The 25,410-nt window shown below is 42.3% G+C and overlaps 1 protein-coding gene and 1 pseudogene across 9 annotated transcripts, besides 2 other annotated features; both read right to left on the reverse strand.

Moving 5' to 3' along the window:
- Positions 1-1,343: 1,343 nt before the first annotated feature.
- CEP20 (centrosomal protein 20) lies at positions 1,344-24,228 on the reverse strand. Of its 9 annotated transcripts, none has more exons than NR_130756.2 (6): positions 24,183-24,228; positions 19,633-19,830; positions 18,574-18,673; positions 15,429-15,513; positions 9,116-9,252; positions 1,344-3,141 (listed from the first exon to the last, which is right to left on the reverse strand). NR_130756.2 is itself a non-coding variant. In NM_001304499.2 (6 exons), the coding sequence occupies exons 1-6, from the start codon at positions 24,208-24,210 to the stop codon at positions 3,065-3,067; spliced, it is 597 nt and encodes a 198-aa protein (NP_001291428.1). In that variant the 5' UTR covers positions 24,211-24,228; the 3' UTR covers positions 1,344-3,064. The 9 variants fall into 9 exon arrangements, 6 of the variants coding, with proteins under 6 accessions (NP_001291428.1, NP_653201.1, NP_001291431.1 ...); NM_001304499.2 differs by having other exon boundaries at positions 18,574-18,645; NM_144600.4 differs by lacking the exon at positions 18,574-18,673.
- On the reverse strand, positions 12,788-12,891 carry RNU6-213P (RNA, U6 small nuclear 213, pseudogene; annotated as a pseudogene).
- Positions 14,457-15,656: an enhancer, noted in NCBI's record as "BRD4-independent group 4 enhancer chr16:15972689-15973888 (GRCh37/hg19 assembly coordinates)". NCBI's record gives its function as "activates an origin of replication core promoter dependent on BRD2, P300/CBP, MED14 and CDK7 cofactors, and independent of BRD4, by STARR-seq in HCT116 cells {active_cell/tissue: HCT116}" and the evidence as "EXISTENCE:reporter gene assay evidence [ECO:0000049][PMID:35650434]".
- Positions 15,097-15,391: an enhancer, noted in NCBI's record as "tiled region #12091; HepG2 Activating non-DNase unmatched - State 14:Gen5'". NCBI's record gives its function as "activates a minimal TATA promoter and a strong SV40 promoter by Sharpr-MPRA in HepG2 cells {active_cell/tissue: HepG2}" and the evidence as "EXISTENCE:reporter gene assay evidence [ECO:0000049][PMID:27701403]".
- Positions 24,229-25,410: the final 1,182 nt, after the last annotated feature.

The following is a 25,410-nucleotide window of genomic DNA, read 5'->3' on the forward strand; positions in this document are numbered from 1 at the left end:
TCTACTTTTATAAAAGTAGTTTTGTTTTGTTTTTTTTTTCCAGAGAATAGTCTCACTCTGTCGCCCAGGCTGGAGTGCAATGGCGTGATCTCAGCGCACTGCAACCTCCGCCTCCTGGGTTCAAGCGATTCTCCTGCCTCAGCCTCCCCAGTAGCTGGGATTACAGGCACATGCCACCACGCCTGGCTAATTTTGTATTTTTTGTAGAAATAGGGTTTTGCGATGTTTGCCAGGCTGCTCTCGAACTCCTGACCTCAGGTGATACGCCCGCCTTGGCCTCCCAAAGTGCCGGGATTACAGGCGTGAGCCACCATGCCCAGCCTAAAGGTAGCTTTTTTTTTTTTATTTTTTATTTTTTGAGACGGAATTTCACTCGTTGCCCAGGCTGGAGTGCGATGGCTCGATCTTAGCTCACTGCAACCCCCACCTCCACAGTTCAAGTGATTCTCCTGTCTCAGCCTCCTGAGTAACTGGGATTACAGGCGCATGCCACCGCGCCTAATTTTTTAATTTTTAGTAGAGATGGGGTTTCATCATATTGGTCAGGCTGGTCTCAAACTCCTGACCTCAGGTGATCCACCCGCTTCGGCCTCCCAAAGTGCTGGGATTACAGGCCTGAGTCACCAAGCCTGGCCAGCAGTTTTATTTCACTTTTATTTTAATAAGATTCCTGAACACCACACAATCCTCGAATCGTGGTTGTTACCAAAAAATCAAGTACCAAGTGGCCGGGAAGCATTGTCCCAAATGCCTTTAAAGGCATATTCTCACAAATGTTCATCTTTCATGTACACTTGGCTTTAAAAGAACACATCAAATTTTACATCAACATAAAGGTATGTGAGTGATACACAAATGTGTTCTTGCACATCATTATAAGGCTATTAGTTTGTTCTGTGCAAGCATATACACTAAGCTTAAATTTATCTTCTTCAAAAGCCACCTCTGCTCCTGCTATGAGGTTTTAGATCACCCAAGTTGTACATTTCCTAAATCCCTCTTCAGTTCCCATTCCCATCCTGTTTTTGTGTAAATCCAAGTTTTCTCCTAAAACTTCTGGAGCATCTCTAGAAGATAAGTTCTCCCGACAATTCCAAGAAACCCACGAGTAAGGTACTTAAATATAACACATTTATGAGAAGGGTTGGCTTGTCCTCTGTGCTTTTCCTTCCTTCCTATAAACATGTGCAGACGGCAGGAAAGTACCCCCGCCTCCACCCCTCAACAGCGAAGCTTCTGAAGATCCCGACGGAAGGCATGGCAGCCATCTCCAATCATTCTTCTGTTTTTGATGTGTGGCTTTTGATGAGAGAACAGTGATATGAACACCCTTTGCACCAAAGTGACTTGCTTATTTTTTTTATTAAATGATACATTGAAAGTATAAAAAGTTGCCGCAGTACAAACAAATTACAGAATAATGCATATAAAAGCGCTATGGACTACACGTGACAATTCTGCTTAACTTCCATCTTGATGATTTTATATCAGTATCCAAAATTATATACTCCAGCATTTTTTCCGAATATAGTCTTACATGATTGCAATTCCTGAGGTAAACTAAGTGTCCACTGCCAACATCCTTGGACGAAAACCAAGTCCCCCGGGAGAATTCAGATATTTATATTCACACATACAATACAACGGAATTCATCAATGTAATCAGATATTGCAGATTTAAAAATGGAAAATGGACTCTTGCAATACTTCTGCATCCATATATAATTTTACCAGCAGGGCCTCCCAAAATGTTGTGTAAGTATAGTTTAAATGGATTTCATTAATAAGTTTCTGCATTTAGATAAAAATTCTTGGCTAATCTGTAAGAAGTGAACACTGACTAGCATTGCCAAACAGAAAATCAAAAGTTTCAACAATTTGCAAAGCAGCACAGAATTGACACCCTAAAGAGGATGCCAATTTTGCTAACTACAGCTCTTACCACTCTTCTCCATGGAAAACCTTTAAGCTAAATGTTGTCAGTGTTTAGGTGTGCAGGCAAAATTTAATTCTGAATATACCATCGAACTTTTGCCAATCAGGAGCTGTCTATCATCATAGTCAGTTGTTTTCAATGAAATGAGCCTGTGGACACTACATTAAAAATACTTCTTTAATAAATATCGAAGTAGCGTATTAGAGATAGCACATACTATTTTTCTATCCCAAGAATAAAAATTGATGTTTGGTAAGAGTTTCGGAGCCCAAACAAGTAGGGGGCTGGCCCTCTTCTGGCTCATCTGTGATTGCACAACCGAGGGCCACACGGAGATTAAACAATGCCATCTTTGAAAAATCCCTTTCTGGTATTTCTCCCAAAGCCTGTCTCTTCATGCTTACTTCACATTCTTTATCTAATAAAATAAACTCTTTGTTTTATTTACAGCAAAATTATTACAGCAAATTTACTTCTCCTCTACCTTTTAATTAAATCTTCCAGTAAGCCAAAGTCTAAGGAAAGAAAAAGTACATTGTTGCCTATTGAAAAGGTAATACAAAGCCCTTTCATTTCCTTACAAACTTTAAGGGCCTTTATAATACTTCCTAAATGGCTGGGCTCAGTGGCTCACACCTGTAATCCCAGCGCTTTGGGAGGCTGGGGCACACAGATCACCTGAGGTCAGGAGTTCAAGACCAGCCTGGCCAGCATGGTGAAACCCCATCTCTACTAAAAATACAAAAACTACTCCGGTGTGGTGGCACAGGCCTGTTTTCCCAGCTACTTGGGAGGCTGAGGCAGGAGAATCACTTGAATCCGGGAGGCAGAGATTGCAGTGAGCCGAGATCGTGCCACTGCACTCCAGTCTGGGTGACAGAGCGAGACTCCATCTCAAAAAAACAAAAAATACTTCGTAAAAACAATACTTTTTTTTTCAAGTCAAATCCAATAAGCTAGATGACAAGAGTTAGCTTTTATTCACAAATGTAGTTAAACATGAGGGGTGTTTTGTAGAAACTCCAATTTCTACAAACATTAGTGGTGCATTTTGGTAACATTGGGACAATAAATAAGTTATTTAATTAATAATACAATTTTAAGACAAAAGATACCCCAAACAAAGCATTATCTGTTGACTGCCTGAGAAACATGAAGATCTTCAATGTTAGTACTTTTCTGTTCCTCCTTTCTTAGGTGGTCATCTGAAATGCACAGAAACCAATGTTAATACTTATCCCAAGTCAAAACACACAGATAGGTAGACATAGCTACAAATATCTTAGGATGTTACATATTTAATATTCTATGAGTACTTTAGATGGTTTAGGACAATGAAAAAAACCCATTATTTTTTAAACACTATTGAAGAAATCAGAGGCCAAGCGTGGTGGCTCACGCCTGTAATCCCAGTACTTTGGGAGGCCGAGGTGGGTGGATCACCTGAGGTCAAGAGTTATAGACTAGTCTGGCCAACATGGTGAAACCCCGTGTCTCCTCAAAATACAAAAATTACCCGGGCGTGGTGGCAGGCGCCTGTAATCCCAGCTACTCGGGAGGCTGAGGCAGGAGAATTGCTTGAACCTGGGAGGCAGAAGTTGCAGTGAGCCAAGATCGTGCCATTTCACTCCAGCCTGGGCAACAAGAGTGAAACTCGGTCTCAAAAAAAAAAAAAAAAAAAAGAAAGAAATCAGAAATGTCTGGCATTAGGGACTCTAATTATTCAAAAGAGTTTCTTGACTTTTTTTTTGAGTAGAGTACAACCTGCAGTAAACCCATGCATAAGTAGTTACAAACCTCTCTCTTACATGTAAGGAATGAAATTTGCAAGAAAGGACAAGGTGTTCAATCAGCATTTTGAGGGTTGCCAAAGCTCTTCAATTACAACACAATGAAAACCACTTCAAATAGATCACCTGAGGTCAGGAGATAGAGACCCTGTCTCTACTAAAAATATAAAAATTAGCCAGGCGTGGTGGCGGGCACCTACAATCCCAGCTACTTGGGAGGCTGAGGGCAGGAGAATCGCTTGAACTCAGAAGTGGAGGTTGCAGTGAGCCGAGATCGTGCCACTGCACTCCAGCCTGGGCGACAGAGCAAGACTCTTGTCTCGAGAAGAAAAAAAAAGAACCTAGAGACTTAATATCCTAATGCAACAAAAATGTAATGCAAAAACTAGATTCTTGAGAATATATGAACCCCAAACACTTTCTACAACTGATAAAACATCTTTCTTGCAACAACTTTGATAATAGGAAAAAATATATACATAAATTTAGATAAGCTGCTAGAAAATGCAATTTTATCACTGGGTTTTCTAATTCTACAATGTGATTATACACACGCTTTATTAGTTCTCAGCTGCTTATTCTCAGTGCCAATACTACTTTAAGGGTCTGGAAAACAGATGGAAATCTCTCTCCCTTTATTTTAGGTAACTTTGCTGGACAGAAAAAAAATTAACAATTTCCTCAGAAGGTAACAATTTTAGGTCTTCTAGAAAAGTGTTATAAAAAATGAAGTCTACTATGCTTGATAGATGTGCAATAAAGTTAAGCTGATGACTGTCCCTATTATAAAAATCTGGTCTTTCATTTACAATAAAAATCTTCGCCAGGAATGTAGTCCCAGCTGTAGTCCCAGCTACTTGGGAGGCTGAGGTGGGAGGATCACCTGGGCCTGTGAGGTCAAGGCTGCAGAGAGCCATGATTGTGTCACTGCACTCCAGCCTGGGAGACAGAGTGAGACCCTATCTCTTAAAAACAAAAAAAAAAAGAAAAAAAATGTGTGTGTGTGTATATATATATAAAGTTGAATAGCAAAAACTACTTTGCCTTCAAGATTACAAGCACTAACAGCAGCAGTACAAATGCACTGGCTGTCATTTCAAAGGTGGGTGTGCCTACATAAACCCTCTTCATTTTTTTTCAGCACTGAAAACTTGGATGAGAGAAGCACTTTTTCATCTTGGCATGCTTTGGACTTACTTCTTTCTTTCCTTTTTTTTTTTTTTTTTTGAGACAGAGTCTCGCTCTGTCGCCCAGGCTGGAGTGTAGTGGCGCAATCTCGGCTCACTGCAACCTCCACCTCCTGGGTTCAAGCGATTTTCCTGCCTCGGCCTCCCGAGTAGCTGGGACTACAGGCGTACACCACCACGTCCAGCTAATTTTTGTATTTTCAGTAGAGACAGGGTTTCACCATGTTGGCTAGGCTGGTCTCGAACTCCTGACCTCAAGTGATCTGCCCACCTAGGCCTCCCAAGGTGCTGGGATTACAGGGGTGAGCTGCCGTGGCCTGGCCTGAACTTATTTTCAAGTAAAAGCCAATTTAGTTTCAGGGTTTGATATTTCTGTTGAATGAGCTTCTGTGGAGACAAGGTGCTGTGATGTAGAATAAGGATTTTAGTATCTTCATAACCTTTTCAATGCTGTCAAATAAGAGTTACGGAGACAGTAAGCTAGAGTTGAGGAAGTAAATGGAAAGCTTAAGTGTGTTACTGAAACATGATGCAGTTCTGGCTGACAACTTTCAAGGCACTACACAAAGAGGTTGTGTCAATAAAATTTTTGATGACCAAGAAAATAATTTGCAAAATCACTGTTCTTCCCCGATTCATTCAGCAGTCATCCTCATTTCTGAGCTGTCTGCAGAGCTTTCCACAGAACAGGCACCCAAGGTGGCTTTACTGACTTGAACTCGATTCTGATGTTCCTGGCACTTTAGTGGTGTACAGGTCGTGTGTCTAGGTGTCTCTTTCCCTCCCTCCCTCCATAAATACCTTTCTCTCTATGGTGTATGCGTAATCTACCGCTTTCATCTCAGAAGAACAGAAATTGGTTAGGAAATAGTGTTCCTTATAACTTTCTTACTAGTCATGAGCCGTGAGTATTAACAAGGCTGATTATGAAACTTACAAACCAGAAAGTTATTTCTCAAGCGGTTATTTTTCTTTATGGGACTGATAGTATCAATGACTTGGGGTTGCTGTGTTAAGAAGTGTTAAGGTGTACAATATCCACTGGTGACAACTGAACTCAGAAACTCATATTGTCATATATTCTTGGTAAGTGTATAGACTGATAAAGCCTTTTTGGAGGGGAATTAGACAATATCTACTACATTTTTAAATATGCATATCCTTTGAACCAACAACTCTACTTTAGGCATCCACACAAGAGAAACGTGTAGACAAAGATACAATGTTACATCACAATACTGTAATGTGTGGACAAAGATACAATGTTACATCACAATACCGTAAAAGCAAAATATTTAAAACTAAATAAGAGTGATTATAAGGTGGGAGAGTAGCCTGGGCAACAGGACAAGACCCTGACTGCAAAAAATTAAAAAATAAGCGAGGTGCAGTGGTGCACCCCTATAGTCCCGGCTACTTGGGATGCTGATGTGGAAAGACTGATCCCAGGAGTTTGAGGCTACAGTGAGCTATGATTGTGCCACTGCACTCCAACCTGGATGACAGAGTAAGACCTCATCTCTAAAATTAAAAAAAGGATGATTGTAATAATACTCTGGAATATGAAACAAAGTTAAAAACGAGATCTACACGTATCAACAAGTAAAAAAAAGCAAATTGCAGGATAACGTGCACCATAACAATGTATATATATTTAAATACACAGAAATGAGTCCCGAAGGGGCTGGGCATGGCCAGATGCAGTGGCTCACACCTGTAATCCCAGCACTTTGGGAGGCCAAGGGGGGTGGATTGCCTGAGGTCATGAGTTGGAGACCAGCCTGGCCAACACAGTGAACCTCATCTCTACTAAAAATACAAAAATTAGGCGGGTGTGGTAGCACATGCCTGCAGCCCCAGCTACTTGGGAGGCAGGAGAATCACTTGAACCTGGGAGGCGGAGGTTGCAGTGAGGTGAGATTGTGCCATTGCACTCCAGCCTGGGTGACAGAGTGACAGTCCATCTAAAATTTAAATAATAATAATAAAATAAAATAAAATAAATAAAATAAAATAGAAATGAGTCCCAAAGAATACCCTGCAAACTGCTAACAGGGACACCTTCTATAAAAAGGGAGAAGAATTGAGGAGTTAGGGAGAGGCAAGAAGGAAGAAAGGAAAGTTAAAGGGAACTTTTTACTATTTAAAAAATTTAGAGATTTACTCATGTACTTGCACTATTAATGTTTTATTTTGCTCGTTAAGTACTTGCCAATTAGTAGGCAGTAATGTCAGTTCCTTACCAATCCCTAAAAAGAGAATTTGGAAAACTTCTCCATAATCTATATGTGGAAAGGTATACGGGAACAGCAATCAAATGTGCTGATTCTGCTACTAATTATCTGCTACAGGTCTTAGTTGAGTTACTTAACCTCTTAGTATTGGAACCTTCTTAAAGTTTTCTCAACTATGAAATAAGTAGATGGGAATGACTTATTTTCCAACGTTCCATCCAGTTCAGCATTCTAATATATATAGAAAGATATCTCCTAGTGCAGTCAGAAACCACCTCCAAAATAGGTTATCCTGATTCACTGTTTACTTTCAGACCTCAAGAGACACCAAGCATCTAACACGGTCACTACTGGTCATAGCAGTTTAGGAAACTACAAAGGCAATCCACATTTTAGGCGTTTCCTAAAAGTTTCCTAAAAGTTCGTGTCAACATTCAAGATTTACATTTGTTCTGATAATTGGCAGCCTAAACCCCACCTTTAACTGTCCTTAAAAATTGACCAGCTCTTGGTTGGGCGCGGTGGCTCAAGCCTGTAATCCCAGCACTTTGGGAGGCCAAGGTGGGCGGATCATGAGGTCAGGAGATCAAGACCATCCTGGCTAACACAGGGAAACCCTGTCTCCACTAAAGATACAAAAAATTAGCCGAGTGTGGTGATGGGCGCCTGTAGTCCCAGCTACTTGGGAGGCTGAGGCAGGGGAATGGCATGAACCCAGGAGGCAGAGCTTACAGTGAGACGAGATCACACCACTACACTCTAGCCTGGGCGACAGAGCGAGACTCTGTCTCAAAAAAAAAAAAAAATTGATCAGCTCTCTACCACAACTGAAAACACTGAGCTATAACCCACTCAATTCAAATGGTGAAAATGGGATCCCATTGCTGGGATAATCAAAATAAGTCAGGGCCAGGTACAGGCTCGTGCCTGTAACCCCCACACTCTGAGAGGCTGAGGTGGGAAATCACTTAAGACCGAGTTCAAGACCAGCCTAGTGAACACGGTTGAGACTTCCATGTCCACAAAAATTAAAAAATTAGCTGGGTGTGGTGCCTGAAGTCCTAGCTACTTGGGAAGCTGAGGCAAGAAGGTGAGAGGATTGCTTGAGCCCGGCAGTTCAAGGTTACGGTGAGCTATAATAGCACCACTGCACTCTAGTCAGGCGACAGAGTGACTAGAAAAAATACATAAAAATTTATGTATTTTTATGTCTCAAAAAAATACATAAAAATTTATGTATTTTTATGTCTCAAAAAAATACATAAAAATTTAAAAGCTACCAAAAGCTCATTTAAAAAACAGGCAATCTGAAAGAAATGTGGGCGATTCTCCTAACAATCTGTAACTTGTAGGTAACTTCCACTGTAACATAAACAGTATCCTAAAAATGCAAATGACTTCTCTATCTGTATTTAGCAATCTTACCTTTTATTTTGCAGTCATGGAGAGGAAAAAAAATAATCACTTGATAAAAAGCTATTTATTCAGTATACCAAGGATCTAAGCTGCTCCAAATACTTACAATTTACATGAAAATTGGAGTTTTCAGTATTTTTTTGTTTTTTTTTAAATTTAATTAATATAATTTTTTAATTAAAAAAATAGAGATGGGGTTTCACCATGTCACTTAGGCTAGTCTCAAACTCCTGGCCTCAAGCGATCCACCTGCCTCGGCCTCCCAAACTGCTGGGATTACAGGCATGAGCCATTGTGCCTAGCCCAGAGTTTTAAATACTTCTATAAAGAAATTACATCTAAGAATTCTGCCCAGTTATGCCTCCCACCCTTCCCTGTCCAAGATTCTTTACAAAAAGCATTCTGTTTCTTGGAGTAACATAGGCTAGACATATTAGATATAAGCAGAATTAAACTATGACTCAAAAGCTCAGTAAAGACTCCAAAAGAAAAATATATAGGAAGAAAACATATTTGCTGACAGCTAAATGATGAATCTTGGAAAACTCATACCCATTGGCTTTCTTCTACTAGGTTGTCTGCCAAGACTTGGGTCTGAAGGCTGAAGTGAAGGCCCTTTCAGAAATGCATTCTGGATGCCATCCTTAGTTCCACGCAAGAAATGGGCTAAAATCCCATATAAAAGAGGTCTATAGCAGGAAGAAAACAAAACAAAACCAAAAGCTAATAAATCTGCATAAACGGGAAAAGCTTAAAACATTTATTCTTTAAAAGGTAACCTCTGACATCAAAAAGACCAAGTGATTCACTAGACTTTAAAAAGCGGCATGATTATCCAAAATGCAAATTGTTCATACTTTTAAATTTAAGAGTACCACTTAATTTCATGACAATTTTAAAACCCAGAGAAAACATGTTAACAACTTAAACCTCATCTACACTGAAATATCATTTCTATCAATCCACAGGAATCTCTTTTAAACTCCAAAGTCCAGTAGAGTATTTCCCAATACCTAACCCCATCTAATACACAACAGGTATTCAATAAACACCTCTTGATTAATAAGTCCTTGCCCTGAAAAAGTCTTAGGTCCTGAGAGCCAGGTGACCTGAGTTCAAATTCTGGCTTTGCCATTTGCTAGCTGTGGGACTCTGTGTAAGATTCTTAACCTCTCCAGCCTCATAAATGTTTCTTCCTTTATAAATTAGGATAAGCACCGTCCCTCCCTTATAGGGCTGTTATGCACTAAATGAGTTAATAAATGTCAAGTGTTTTTTACTGTGCCTGGCACATATGAAATGGTATATAAATGTTAGCTCCTGTGTAGCTAACATTTATTTAGATTAATATTTACATTACCTATTATTTTAAAATCTTCTTTATAGTTTACAGAACGTATACCTCTTCTCATCTAATCCTCATCGTGTAATGTCAAGATCATCAACTGCAATTTATAAAGGAGAAAACCACAGCCAGGAGATTTGCTAGAGATTCCCCCAGATAGTAAACAAAGTTTACACTTGAACCCCAAATCCCATATTGTTTTCCTTACAGTGTGCTGCCTGGGAATTTATATTAGTACTCTTGCATCAAGGAAAGCTGCTCTGCTGACAATCAAGAGTGGTACAATGGAAATGTTTTCCTTTGTTTCCAATCTCAAATTTGAAAACACAATTAAAAGGATTTAATCTTTATTTTTAATTTTTGTGGGTACATAGTAGGTGTATATATTTGTGGGGAGGATTTATTTTTTGAGATATGTATCTATTTACTAGCTGGTATAATGGTTTACAGTACGACGCTCCCTTCCAAAGATGGAATCTCATTGCCCTCTGAGTGTGAGCTGAACTCACTTCTAACTGGCACAAAGCTGACTTCAGAGGCCACGTGGTAATGGCCCTGCAGCTTCCTCCTTGCTTTCTCTCTTGGATTGCTGCCTTTGGGAGAAGTCAGATGCCTCAGGACACTTCAGCAGCCCTGGAAAGTTACATGCAGTAAGGAATTGAGGCCGCCTGTCAATATCATTATGAGTTTGGAAGCAGATAGTTCAGCCACATTCAAGGCTTCCGACTACAACCCTGGCTGGCATCTTGACTCCAACCTCAAGGGGGAGCCTGAGCTAGACTTACGTGACTAAGCCAATCCCAAATCCCCGAATATTCCACAAATAATCTATGTTGTTGTTCTAAGCTACCAAATTCTGGAATAATATCACACTAATTTTTCCATGCCACAGGGAAACCAGGAAAGTAAGTTTCTTTATTTAATAAGATGCCGCAACTCTTATGAAAGCGTCACCTAGTAATATAAAACAGGTCTCTTTGTTTACTTTAATCTTCCCCAAAGTGTTAACTGGTTCAAGATGATTTTTAAATGTTAAAAGTTTTATTTTTTAAATAAATATTCAAAAAAATGTACTTGTGATTAAAATTTTGGGTTGGACATGGGGGCTCAGGCCTGTAATCCCAGGACTTTGGGGGGCCAGCCTGGCCTCAAACAGGAGTTTGAGACAGCCTGAACAACATAGCGAGTCCCCTAGCTCTACAGCAATTTTATTTTAAATTAGCCACAGAAGGTAATATGCACCTGTGGTCCCAGCTACTTGGGAGGCTGAGGTGAGAGGATCGCTTGAGTGCAGAAGGGAGAGGCAACTTGCAAATTCATGGATTAAGGTTTATCTTTTAAAATAAGTTTCAAAAAGATAAAGAAAAGTGCGGCCTCACAATAACTTGCCTGTAATTCTGAAATGCAAAATTCTGAAAACTGGATTCTCTTCATATATCTGGCAAAAAATCATCAGATGGCAAGGGTTGACCTAACAAGGCTATTAACAAGGCTATTACAGACTTTATCTTACTTTGTGTGAAAACATTAATGTGCTGGGTGTGGTGGCTCAAGCCTGTAATCCCAGCACTTTGGGAGGCCAAGGCAGGAGGATCACCTGAGGTCGGGAGTTCAAGACCAGCCTGACCAACATGGAGAAACCCCGTATCTACTAAAAATACAAAATTAGCCGGGTGTGGTGGCATGCTCCTGTAATCCCAGCTACTCAGGAGGCTGAGGCAGAAGAGTCACTTGAACCCAAGAGGCAGAGGTTGCAGTGAGCTGAGATCATGTCATTGCACTCAAAAAAAAAAAAAAAGAGAAAGAAAATATTAATGTGATTGTGGAATACTACTTTAGGACTCCCTGGCACATACATGTAGTATTTGGTAGATGTACCATATTACTTTTTTTTTTTTTTTAAAGAATTGAAGTCTTGGGCCGATGGCTCACACCTGTAATCCTAGCACTTTGGGAGGCCGAGGCAGGAGGATCATGAGGTCAGGAGATCGAGACCATCCTGGCTAACACGGTGAAACCGTCTCTACTAAAAATACAAAAAATTAGCCAGGCGTGGTGGCATGCGTCTATAGTCCCAGCTACTTGGGAGGCTGAGGCAGGAGAATCGCTTGAACCTGGGAGGCGGCAGTTGCCGTGAGCCGAGATCACGCCACTGCACTCCAGCCTGGACGACAGAGTGAGACTCTGTCTCGAAAAAAAAAAAAAGAACTCTCGCTGTGTGGCCCACACTGGAGTGCAGCAGCAAGATCATGGCTCACTGCAGCCTCAATCTCCTGGATTTAAGTAATCTTCTTGCCTCACCCTCCTAAGTAGCTAGGACTACAGGCATGTCATTTTAAAACCCGACAGCATTTGGATTTTCAAACATGTATCTGGCCTCAGTGGTTTCAGATGCAGCACTGCAGATCTGTAAGTAAATAATATGAGTAATATGTGACTATGGCAAACTCTGTGAATGCCAATCACTGAAGTGTGAGAAACAAGGGCTTAAAGAAGTTACCTAACTTTTAAAAAATAAAGCCGTTTTAGCAACTTTTTTTTTTGCTTCCTCATCCTCTCTCAAACTTACTTTTTTTTTTTTTTTTGGAAACGGAGTCTCGCTTCTGTCGCCCAGGCTGAGTGCAGTGGCACGATCTCGGCTCACTGCAAGCTCCACCTCCCCGTTTGACGCCCATTTTCCTGCCTCGGCCTCCCAAGTAGCTGGGACTACAGGCATCCGCCACCTTGCCCGGCTAATTTTTTGTATGTTTAGCAGAGACGGGGTTTCACCGTGTTAGCCAGGATGGTCTCCATTTCCTAACCTCGTGATCTGCCCGCCTCGGCCTCCCAAAGTGCTGAGATTACAGGCGTGAGCCAATGCGCCCGGCCTTCTTTTTTAAAAAAATATCAAACATTTCACGAATTTGCGTGTCATCCCTTTGCCGGGGCCATGCTAATCTCTGTACCGCTCCAATTTTAGTTTATGTGCTGTTAAAGTGAGCACAAACTTCTTAATACTTTCATCTGAAGTAGGTATCTCAAAAGCTACCAAGAAGCCAGTAATAGTCATTGCTTATTTCCATCAACTGCTAAATGTAAAATGATGTCTTGTATTAAATGATGTAATAACTCACTGCTCATCCTAAGTCACGCTTAGATTCCCCCAATTATTTTTCCCACTGTTCTCAATTATACAATTTTTATACTTTTCAAAACACTTGTTACCAGGTGCAGTGGCTCATGCCTGTAATCCCAACACTTTGGAAGGCCAAGGTAGGTGGATAACTTGAGCTGAGGAATTGGAGACCAGCCTGGCTAACATGGTAAAACACCATTTCTAAAAAAAATACAAAAATTGGCCAGGCATGATGGTGCATGCCAGCGTATGCCTGTAATTCCAGCTACATGGGAGGCTGAGGTGGGAGAATCGCTTGAGCCCAGGAGTTCGAGGCTGCAGTGAGCCATGATCAAGCCGCTGCACTCTAGAGACCTGGGCAACAGAGTGAAACCCTGCCTTGAAAAAACAAACAAAAAAACCTCACAGCACTTTGGGAGGTGGAGGTGGGCAGATCACTTGAGGCCAGGAGTTCGAGACCGGCCTGGCCAACATGGTGAAACCCCATCTCTACAAAAAAATATGAAAAAAAATTAGCTGGGCATGGTGGTGCACACCTGTAATCCCAGCTACTCAGGAGGCTGAGGCAGAATCAGTTGAACCCAGGAGGAGATTGCGGTGAGCTGAGATGGGGCCACTGCACTCCAGCATGGGCGACAGAGCGAGACCCTATCTCACAAAAAGGAAAAAAGAAAAAAAAAAGAAACAAGGGAAGATGAGAGGAAGAGAAAGAGGAAAATGCCATAAAGGAGTTACTATCTGAACAGGGCCAACAGAAAGGAAAGATGCTCCAATAGAAGTTAAGATGCTCCAATAGAAGAGGGAGAAAGGTGATGTAGGGCTTCTAGGATAAGGGAATGGTTTACAAGGCAAAGCAGCATAAAGTTGCAAAGTGTCTTCCAGGCATAATCAGAAATCAGGTGTGAGCAGATAGAACAACAGACGGGTAGAAAGAGGTGTAAAGTGCTACGCTAAGCAACAGGGACTTCACTATACACACAATGACAAAGGTAGTATATGATCCTGGAACATTAATTTTACACAAGGATTTGTGGGAGAGTTAGATTTAACTGGAATGTCATTTAAAACATTTATATAGTAAAGCAAACAACTTTCAGAACTTTTTTTTTTTTTTTTGAGACAGGGTCTGATTCTGTCACCTAGGCTAGAGTGCAGTGGTGTGATCTTGGCTCACTGCAACCTCCGCTGCCCAGGTTAAAGCGATTCTCATGCCTGAGCCTCCCTAGCAGCTGGGACTACAGGCACACGCCACCATGCCTTGCTAATCTTTTTGTTATTTTTAGTAGAGATGGGGTTTCGCCATGTTGACCAGGCTGGTCTCAAACTCCTGACCTCAGGTGATCCACTTGCCTCAGCCTCTGAAGTGCTGGGACTACAGGCATGAGCCACCACGTCTGGCTAGAGATGGGGTTTCCCCATGTTGTCCAGGCTAGTCTTGAACTCCTGAGCTCAAGTGATCCTTCCACTTCAGCCTTCCAAAGTGCTGGCATTACAGGCACGAGATACCTCACTTGGCCTTAAGAACTTTTAGGATGAGAAAACGTAAGGCTTCAAAGAAAGTTCTAGATTTAAAAAAAGGCTGCTTTAAGCTATGTTCTCAGGTCTCCTATGTACTTTTTTTTTTTTTTTTGGCTATACAGGGACTCTCCAGAAAAAGTTTAAGAAACACTGAAATAGAAAAAAACTAAGAAAACTAGAAAGTGGTCATCCTCCTTTTCAAGAGCATAGTTGGTGAGAGGAGGTACACAGAGGGCAAAGGACAGAGTAATAGTAACGAAAGCAGTGGGCTGATTCAGTAATCTTGGTAGAAAAAGGTATTCGAGCAGAAGCTTGGGGTTGGAAGTTCATAGTTTTTGTTTTTGTTTTTGTTTTTGTTTTAGGAGAGGAGAGATCTGAGTACATTCCTAAGTTGGAGTGAAGGAAGAGTTAAATATGAAGAAAACAACTGACAAGGCAAAGTCTCAGAGGCCAGGCATGGAGGGCTCACACCTGCAACCCTAGCACTTTGGGAGGCCAAGGCAGGAAGATCACTTGAGGTCAGGAGTTCGAGACCAGCCTGGGCAAAAAAGCGAGGCCTTGCCTCTACAAAAATAATTTGAAAATACAAATAAAAGTTGAAATTATAAATTAAAAAACAAACAAAGCCTTAGAAGGACAAAGGATCAAGAAGTCAAAAGGAGCTAACTCCAGAAAGAAGATGCTGAGTCACTCTGAAGCCATGTAATTGTAGCTTCAGCAAACACAGATCTCATCTGACTTATTCACTGCTGCACACCCTGGATTTAGGACAATGCTTGACACACACTAGATCTGAATAAATACTTGAATTAAAATGAAGTAAAACCACCATGGTGCAATTATGACTCAATACAATATGTGGAAACTTCTTTAAAAAAATGTCTTACATTGTATTATCCTTTGATTCTTCAAATGCATTTAGTTCATGGATGAGAAACTGTCTGTCCAACGGAACTACAGGTTGACCAGATTCTGGGAGAAATAAATTCATGAGAACACTCAGTCTATTAAACTAAAAAGCAAATAAGATTTTGAAAAGAATCACATTTACCAGACATACACTTTTTAGATTTTGGAAGAATGATGACAACACACACCAAGACAGATCAAATTGCCTGTGATTTTATGACTTTCAAAATATCTCTTTTGTTAAATGCATGTCTTAATACAGTTTAACATAAATTCACTTTTTAAATTCCCCAGTGTTTGGTTGGAAAAATACCATTTCTATATCCAAATTATAATACTAAATTTTGGAAGTCTGTTTATCAATAACTTATTTTTGAAAAGAATATCCACTTGGTGACAATACTTATAAATAAAAATTAAAGTTAACCTGAAGTGTGGGGCAGCTGGAACTTTCACACTTTGCTGGTGGGAAAGCACAATGGTACAGGCACTTTGGAAAACAGTTGAGCAGTTTTCTTATAAAGGTGAGCGTGCACTTAACCACACAACCCAGCAATCTCACTCTTAGCTTTCTACCCAAGATTAATGAAAACTTATGTTCTCACAAAAACCTGTATGTAAATGTTTATGGCAGCTTGATTCCTAACTGCTAAAACTAGAAACAACTCAATGCCCATCAACTGGTCATAGATGAGCAAACTAGCACAGCCACACAATAGAACAGTGTTCAAAGGAAAAACAAACATGGCTGAATCTTGAATGTATTACACTAAGTGAAAAAAGGCAGACTCAAAAGGCTACATCATGTACGGTTCCATCTACAGCAAGGGTCCCCAACCCCCGAGCCACAGATTAGAAACTGGGCCACACAGCAGGAGGTGAGGAGTGGGCAAGCAAGTGAGGGAAGCTTGATCTGTGTTTACAGCTGCTGCCCATCACTAGCATCACTGCCTGAGCTCAGCCTCCTGTTGGCAGAATTAGATTCTCATAGAAGCGTGAACCCTATTGTGAACTGCACATGCGAGGGATCTGGGCTGTGCACTCCTTATGAGAATCTAAGGCCTGATGATCTCTCACTGCCTCCCATCACCCCCAGATGGGACCATCTAGTTGCAGGAAAACAGGCTTAGGGCTCCCACTGATTCTACATTATGGTGAGTTATAATTATTTCATTATATATTACAACACAATCATAGAAATAAAATGCACAATAAATGGAGTATGCTTGAATCATCCCGAACCATCCTCCCAGGTCCATGGAAAAATTGTCTTCCATGAAACCAGTCCCTGGTGCCAAAAAGGCTGGTGATATCTTGATTGTGATCTGGTAGTAATTACACAACTGCAGGCATTTGACTAAAGTACAGAACTGTACAGTTTAAAAGGTAAATTTTATTGTATGTAAATTATATCCCAGTTTTTTAAAAAAAGCCAAACCATTTAATATGAAAACTTGACTACTGTCACTATATTTCATTCTAGTGAATCCCAAGTCCCCACTATTTTCATAATTTCTTCTTTTCTGGGTGTAACTGGTATCATACAGCCATCTATAACAAACAAAGGAAAGCAGAGATGCTGATATCAAAGATCCTTAAACCATAAAAATCATGAGTCTTTATGTAGTTCAGACGTATGTTTAATATTAAATAAAGGATCTGTAACGAAAAATTCTAACTTCACAAAGAATTCATTCTCTCTTGCAAAATCTACTTCCTGGCCTCGCTTCTTTGCTGAGGCATGAAGTAGTCAAAGCAGAGATGGAACCTGAAACGAGGGAATCCGATGACACACATTCAGGGTGCCTCAGACCAACCCCCAGCTGCATCCCCCACCCCACCAAGTCCAGGGGTAACCAGGATTCTGACTTATTTATATCCATCCAGTCTCTCCTCACTTTTTTGAAAGAAGACATTTAAAAGTCAGCAGAAGATATTAAAAATATTCTCACCACTCAATAACTGTTACACTTGAAGAGCAAATTTATTTCTCAAGAAATAAAATTCAACAGATAAAGGGAATTTATCTTTATCTCCCCACCCCCAACCCCCAATATCATTCTCTGCCTCCTATCACTAGGATGAGTTTGGAGTTTCCCGCTGCTAGAGTCTGGATATTTGTCTCCGCCCAAATCTCATGTTGCAACGCACTCCCCAGTGTTGGAAGTGGGACCTGGCGGGAGTTGTTTGGGTCATGGGGGTGGATCCCTCATGGCCTGGTGCTGTCCTTACCACAGTGAGTGGGTTCTCATGAGAACAGGTCATTTATAAGTGTGTGGCACTAACCTTCCCCACCCTTGGCCCCTGCCTTCACCATGTAACGTGCTTGCTGCAGTGAGCAAAAGCTCCCTGAGGCCTCCCAGAAGCTAAGCAGATGCCAGTGCCATGCTTGTACAGTCTGCAGAACCGTGAGCCAAGTAAACCTCTTTTCTTCAACCGGGTGCGGTGGCTCACGCCTGTAATCCCAACATTTTGGGAGGCCGAGGAGGGCGGATCACGAGGTCAGGAGACTGAGACCATCCTGGCTAACGGTGAAACCCTGTCTCTACTAAAAATACAAAAAATTAGCTGGGCATGGCCTGTAGTCCCAGCTACTTGGGAGGCTGAGGCAGGAGAATCACTTGAACCCAGGAGGTAGACGTTGCAGTGAGCCGAGATCAATCCACACTCCAGCCTGGGTGACAGAGCAAGACTCTGTCTCAAAACAAACAAACAAACAAACAAACATACAAAAAAACCTCTTCTCTTCATAAATTACCCAGTCTCAGGTGTTTATTTATAGCAATCCAAAAACAACCTAATATACCAGCCTAGTCCTTTATAAATACCATGCTTTTAGATACATACATTTGTAAATGTACCTAAGCACTACATAGTAGTAATATTTCAAAGTTTTATCTCCATTATATCTATCTATCTATCTATCTATCTATCTATCTATCTATCTATCTATCTAGATACACACACACACACACACAAATAGACATATATCTACATATCTATATATAGACAGGGACAGTTTTTTTTCTTTTAAGAGACAGGAGTTGGACCAGCCTGTCCAATATAGTGAAACCCCGTCTCTACTAAAAAATACAAAAATTCGCCGGGCCTGGCAGCACACACCTGTAGTTCCAGGTACTCGGGAGGCTGAGGCAGGAGAACTGCTTGAACCCAGGAGGCGGAGGATGCAGTGAGCTGAGATCACAATAGAGTGAGACTCCGTCTCAAAAAAAAAGAAAGAAAAAAAAGACAGGGGTTGGGTGCAGTGGCTCATGCCTGTAATCCCAGCATTTGGGGAGTGTGAGATAGGTGGATCACCTGAGCCCAGGAGTTCAATACCAGGCTGGGCAACATAGTGAGAGCTCATCTCTATAAATAATAAAAAAATTTAGCTGGGCATGGAGGCATGCACCTGTGGTCCCAGCTACTCAGGAGACTGACGCAGGAAGACTGCTTGAGCCCAGGAGGTGAAAGTTGCAATAAGCCATGATCGCACCACTGCAGTCCAGCCTTTGCAACAGAGTGAGATTCTGTCTCTGGAAAAAGAAAAAAGAGACAGGGTCTCTCTCTGTTGCCCAGACTGGAGTGCAGTGATGCGATCATGGCTCACTAAAGCCCAGAGCACATGGGCTCACATGATCACCCCCTCCCCGACCCCTGCTCAGCCTCAGCTAGGACAACAGACACGTGCCACCATGCATGGCTAATTTTAAAAACTCTTTTCCAGAGATGGGGTCTCCCTGTGTTGCCCAGGCTGGTCGCGAACTCCTGGGCTCAAGTAATCTTGCCTCGGCCTCCCAAAGCACTGAGATTACAGGTGTGAGCCACCTACCCAGCCTATTTTTTAACAAATAATATACTTAATCAGCGTATATTTTTAAAGCTTAATACACAGGAAAAAACTGGTGGCAAACAGGACAAAACGTCAACAATTGTTTATTCTCGGTTACAGGAATTATAGATGATTTTTCCAAGTATATGCCTAGTTTAAGTGATTATTTAGTTATGTATTTTCTCTTGTAAGAATCTGTTTAAGCTACAGAAAGAACCCATGTGATTTTTGTGTCCCAGTCACCCAGATGGCACTATCTGGTAAGGGAATTAGATTTCTAGGATAAACAGTTTCTGAGAATTGGGGAAAGGGGAGAAACAGATTTTATGTGATAAATAATAACCACTTACCTGCTATGAGGACAGATGCTGTATACTTATATTTGTTGAATTCTAAATACTCTCGAATTAATTCATTAATTAGAAGGTTTTCATGAGACAATGATGGTCGGGGTTCACGGTCATCATCTAGGGCATTGAAAACTTCAGCTCGGATCCTTGCTTTTAAATGCCCTAATACCCCCTTTTTTTCCAAGGTGTCCTTTAAAACTGTTCGATATAAAATATTAAGGCTTCAGTTACAGAGTAAATTTGTCATTCTTAGGCATACTTTGAAAAGAAATGTTGAAAAGGTAAATGGTACAAAAACAGCTCTCAAGCAGCTCTTAATCTAAACATTGTGACAAATTATTAAACAATTACACTACCACCAGCCATGTTTATACTAAAACATATAGTTCTCATGTTGCAGTGATTTAGTCTTAATATATTTGAGCAAATTCAAGTTTATTCCTACATCATCAGCACTGTCAGGGGCTGTAGTCTAATACATATTCTTTTTTATTTTATTTATTATTTTTTTTGAGACACAGTCTCGCTCTTTCACCCAGGCTGGAGTGCAGTGGCACGATCTCAGCTCACTGCAACCTCTGCCTCCCAGGTTCAAGCAATTCTCCTGCCTCAGCCTCCAGGGTAGTTGGGACTACAGGCACGTGCCACCACGCCCAACTATTTCTTTTTTGTATTTTTAGTAGAGACGGGGTTTCACTGTGTTGGCCAGGATGGTCTCAATCTCCTGACCTCGTGATCCACCCACCTCAGCCTCCCAAAGTGTTGGGATTACAGGTGTCAGCCACCGTGCCCGGCCAATACATAATTCTTTAGTGAGGGGAAAAGGCGGGGGATAGGATTATAGTTGCTTACTGAGACCTGAACTTAAGCCCCAGTCTCTCATATATTTTCAAGAGTGTCTGCCACTGCACACAGGTTCTGCTTGTCACTAACAACCTCTGGTCTAGAAAGATGATTAAAGAAAACAACTACATTCCATAAAAGAAGTCTGTTGGGTTACTGTGTAAAAACCTTGATGGCAGGGCATGGTGGCTCATGCCTGTAACCCAGCACTTTGGGAGGCTCAGGCGGGCGGATCACGAGATCAGCAAATTGAGACCATCTTGGCTAACAAGGTGAAATCCCCCTCTCTACTAAAAAAATACAAAAAATTAGCCGGGTGTGGTGGCACGCACCTGTAGTCCCAGCAACTTGGGAGGCTGAGGCACAAGAATTACTTGAACCTGGGAGGTGGAGGGTGCAGTGAGCTGAGGTGGTGCCACTGCACTCTAGCCTGGGCGAAAGAGTGAGACTCTGTTTAAAACAACCAACCAACCAACCAACCAAAAAAAAAAACACAAACCTTTGATAATCCACAACGCTTTAGGGAGTGAAAAGGTGTTGGGTTTTTCATTGTTGTTATTTTGAAACAATCTCGCTCTGTCGCCAGGTTGGAGTGCAGTGGCACGATCTCGGCTCACTGCAATCTCCAGGCTCCCTGGTTCAAGCAATTCTCCTGCCTCAGCCTCCCAAATAGCTGGGATTACAGGTGTGCGATACCACGACTGGCTAATTTTTGTATTTTTAGTAGAGACAGGGTTTCACTATGTTGGCCAGGATGGTCTCCATCTCCTGACCTCGTGATCCACCCGCCTCAGCCTCCCAAAGTACTGGGATTACAGGCATGAGCCACTGCGCCCACTGGCCTCGTTGTTTTAAAGACAACTATGAGTTAATTCCTTAGAACAGTAGGATTCTGAAATTTTAAGCCTAGTTAGAAATCTACCACGTGACTGTATCAATGCCATCTTAAGGAGTCAGGGATGTGTATGCAGAATGGAAATCTAACTTACTGATTAGCCAGAGTCACCATGACAAAGCAGTTATGATCATGGGATTTGGCTGTACATACTTAGTATAGATAATGGGGATCTTAGGACTGAATTGGCACCATCCCTTGTAGTGATCTGCAACTTTTATTTTCAAACAGTTCCTACTGGCTAAATGACAACTTCAGAGAATGAACACATCTCATCCACAGAGTCAAGAACAGAGCAAGAGCTCAGTAGGTGTCACCTAGAAGGATTATAATACATTGCTGTACACTACTGGGAAATCAATGTAGTTTAACACTGTTCTGCACCCTGCCAAAGGCACCAAGTAAGTACATCACAATAACAAAAATCCATAAAGAGAGCCCAGGAGCTTATCCAAGTCAGTATGGACATAAGATCTTTCTAAGCTTCAATAAATAACGTCAACAATAACCCTGGATCATATGACTAAAGAGATAGAATCTTCACTGACTTTTGACCTTTCTTTCCCCTCATTTTTAAAGCATCCCTTCAACCTTCTTGCAGATAGGTTAAGTACAGTTATCACCAGATCAGAGTTTGTAACAGGTCCATAAAAGGAAGGTACAGCCTTATTGTACTCTTAGAATCATAACTGAACCCCTATTCTCTAATTCCATCTTTGGAAATTGGATGGAGAGATTTTGTCACTGGCAAGGATCCTGTCCCAATTACTCTGTATTGCACACAGGACAGCCTCAAACTGGACAGAGAAACGAGAATTAGTGACAGTGGAATGAGGAAAGCTAGCATGTCTCATCAGCACCTCAGTGGTGGATTACCAACCCATGCCTCAGTTGCCTTCTCTAAAATAATGAGCTCTACCTCTCAGAGATAGAACCAAGTAAGAAGGAAAAACGTGATCGTGCTTAAAAAAGGTAAATGCCCATAAAATGTAAGGTAACTGGCTGGCAAACAAGTTTTCACCGGGTTTCTTTTGGAGGTCCATAGCATTTTACCTTTCCCTCTATTATGCTTAGAACACTGCGCCATCAAAACTTCTTCGGAAAGGTCTTAACCTCGCTTATATTTCAAGAGTACCTTTTTTATTTTATTTTTTAATTTGTTTTTTTTTTTGAGACAAGGTCTCATTTTGTTGCCCAGGCTGGAGTGCAGTGGCACCACTGTAGCTCATTGTCACCTCTATCTCCTGGGCTCAAGCTATCTTCCTGTTTCAGCCTGTGGGGTAGCTGGAACTACCACAGGCCACTATGCCCGGCTCTTTTTTTTAATTTTTATTTTTTAAATAAAGATGGGGTCTCACCATGTTGGCCAGGCTGGTCTTAAACTTCTGGGCTCAAGCGATCCTCCCAAAGTGTTAGGATTACAGGCATGAGCCACTGTGCTTGGCCCATTCCAAGTGTACCTTTAAATCCTCTGAAAATGTATGCAATATTACATGTGATGTGTATTTCCCTGGGAACAGCATCTGTAGACTCGTGAAGTCTGTTCTTGTGGACAGATGCATGCCTGTTCTGTTTTATGATTGTTCACCAGCCCTGTCCCCAAATACACACTTTTATACACGTCTCCTCCCTAAAATATCTAAGAATTACTAGTTTAAACCCTGGGTTCCCTGCAAAGTGGAACTGGTTTTATTTTTTGGACAGCAATCTTGCTCAGTGATTAAGACCTGGCGCTCCAGTGCGTCACAACTAGGTTCCCATGCTGTGTCTCTTTCCAGTGAAATCACTTTGAGCTATTTCACTTCTCAGTACCTCGTTTCCCAGTCTATGAAATGGGCATAGGGTTGTTACAATCAGGTAACACACAGGCTGAGTTGAGTAGTGCCTGACACATGAGGCTCAATGATAACTATTATTACTATTACTTGTCTGGACATTTGCTTCAAAGTAAACAGCGTACAAATGTCATTAATGACTCAAACATAACTAGCTTAGAGTATCTTTTCCTGAAAAGACAGGAGAATGGCCAGGCCAGCAAACTTTTTGCCTCTAGTTTCTTCTGATGAAAAAGGGGCCAGGCGCTCACACCTGTAATCCCAGCACTTTGAGGGGGCCAAGGCAGGAGGATAGCTTGAGACCAGGAGTTCGACAGTAAGACCCCGTGTCTACAAAAAATACAAAAATTAGCCGGGCGTAGTGAAGAGCCCCTGTATTCCCACCTGCTCTGGAAGCTGAGGTGGGAGGATAGCTGGAGTCCCGGAGTTCGAAGCTGCAGTGAGCTGTGATCGCGCTACTGCACTCCAGCCTGGGCGACAGAGAGACCCTCTCTTTAAAAAAAAAAAAAAAAAGCAAGGAGGGGAGGGCTACTTAACAGGTTGTTGTAAGGACCCAACGAGACAACCAAGCAAATTGTTTAGGGCAGTGCCTAACCCAATAGGGGTTGTGGGAATTGTAGTCATCAGCCCTGAGTGCCAAGCCTGGTCCAAGTCCTCCAGCCCCCGGCAGGGTCCAAGAAGATGAGCCAGGGGCCCAAGATGCAGGCCTGTAGGCCTCTTAGATGCCTGAAGATTACGCAACTCCTCCTTTAGCTCCAAACTGGCTTAAAACTCGCCAGTGGGCAACCTCTTCCCCATAAGAGCTCCCCGCGCACGGGCCAAGACAGCAGCCAGACGCTCCCCGCAGGCCCTCACACCGAAGAATGACGCCTGTAAAAGCCAACCCATGTGTTCCGCGCGCTCTCCTCCCATCCCATCCTTTCCACAAGATGAAGGCCCGACGCTTCCCATGTGGAGGCCTCCCTGCTCGCACTCACCAGCCTTCAACTCTGCCACAGTCGCCATTTTTCAACGGCCGCCAGGGCCGCACCGCGGCCCTGCGCACGCGCAGCTCCGCCCCACTCACCCTGCGGCGTGGTCTGTAGCCAATAGGCGCACAGCTCTCGCCCCGCCCACTTCCGCCCCTCTCAGTTTATGAGCTCTGCGGTTGAGTGGGTAGTGAATGTCGACCAGAGACTCCACCAATCAGCGAGCGCTCTCGGAAGGCCCAGTTGAGTGAGACGGCAGGGAGGGCGGGGACTGAGGCAGTGGAGAGCCCTGTGGGGTGCTGCTGGCACCTTAGTGCTTAACTTTAGCCAGCTGAGTTTTTCATTGTCTCTGCAGCCTCAAGTACCAACTGCTAGTAGTTACCACCTATTAACCCTGCGGTTCTCAAACTTGAGCATGAATCCTCATCACCTCCAAGACTTGTTTAAACGGATTGTTTGCTAGTCCTCCCCATAGAGTTTCTGATTCTGTAAATCTGGGGTGAGGCCCTAGGATTTGCATTTCTATCGAGTTCCCAGGTGGTACTGGTACTGCTGGTCGGTCTGGAGATCACACCTCGAGAACCACTGTATTAAGCACTTACTGTGACGCCTTAGCGCATTATTTCCTTATGATCACGCCGTTTTTACAATGAAGGAAACAGAGTCCTCCATCGCTGAAGAGACTTAACCAAGGTCACCAGCCTGTCCTCTTCCACTCGCACTTACACAGTGCATGTAAGGAGTCCAGGAGCTTTTTATGGAACTAACTAATGAAGGAATAAGCTCCAACATCCCATGGAAGTAAAGGAAAAGGAACAGGGGAATAATGTACCCTAAACTGAGTGTGAGGTTGCATGATTCCAGTTGTAATGCCGGTGAGATCCAAACACTTGGCTAAATAATAAACATCGATTAGACGTACACCTAAGAGTGGCCGGGCGCGGTGGCTCACGCCTGTAATCCCAGCACTTTGGGAGGCCGAGGCGGGCGGATCCCGAGGTCAGGAGATCGAGACCATCCTGGCTAACACGGTGAAACCCTGTCTCTACTAAAAATACAAAAAATTAGCCGGGCGTGCTGGCGGGCGCCTGTACTCCCAGCTACTCGGGAGGCTGAGGCAGGAGAATGGCGTGAACCCGGGAGGTGGAGCTTGCAGTGAGCCGAGATGGCACCACTGCACTCCAGCCTGGGCGACAGAGTGAGACTCCGTCTCAAAAAAAAAAAAAAAAAAGTACAC

This window comes from Homo sapiens, chromosome 16 (genome assembly GCF_000001405.40).
Source record: "Homo sapiens chromosome 16, GRCh38.p14 Primary Assembly".
In the NCBI taxonomy this organism is placed as follows: Eukaryota; Metazoa; Chordata; class Mammalia; order Primates; family Hominidae; genus Homo; species Homo sapiens.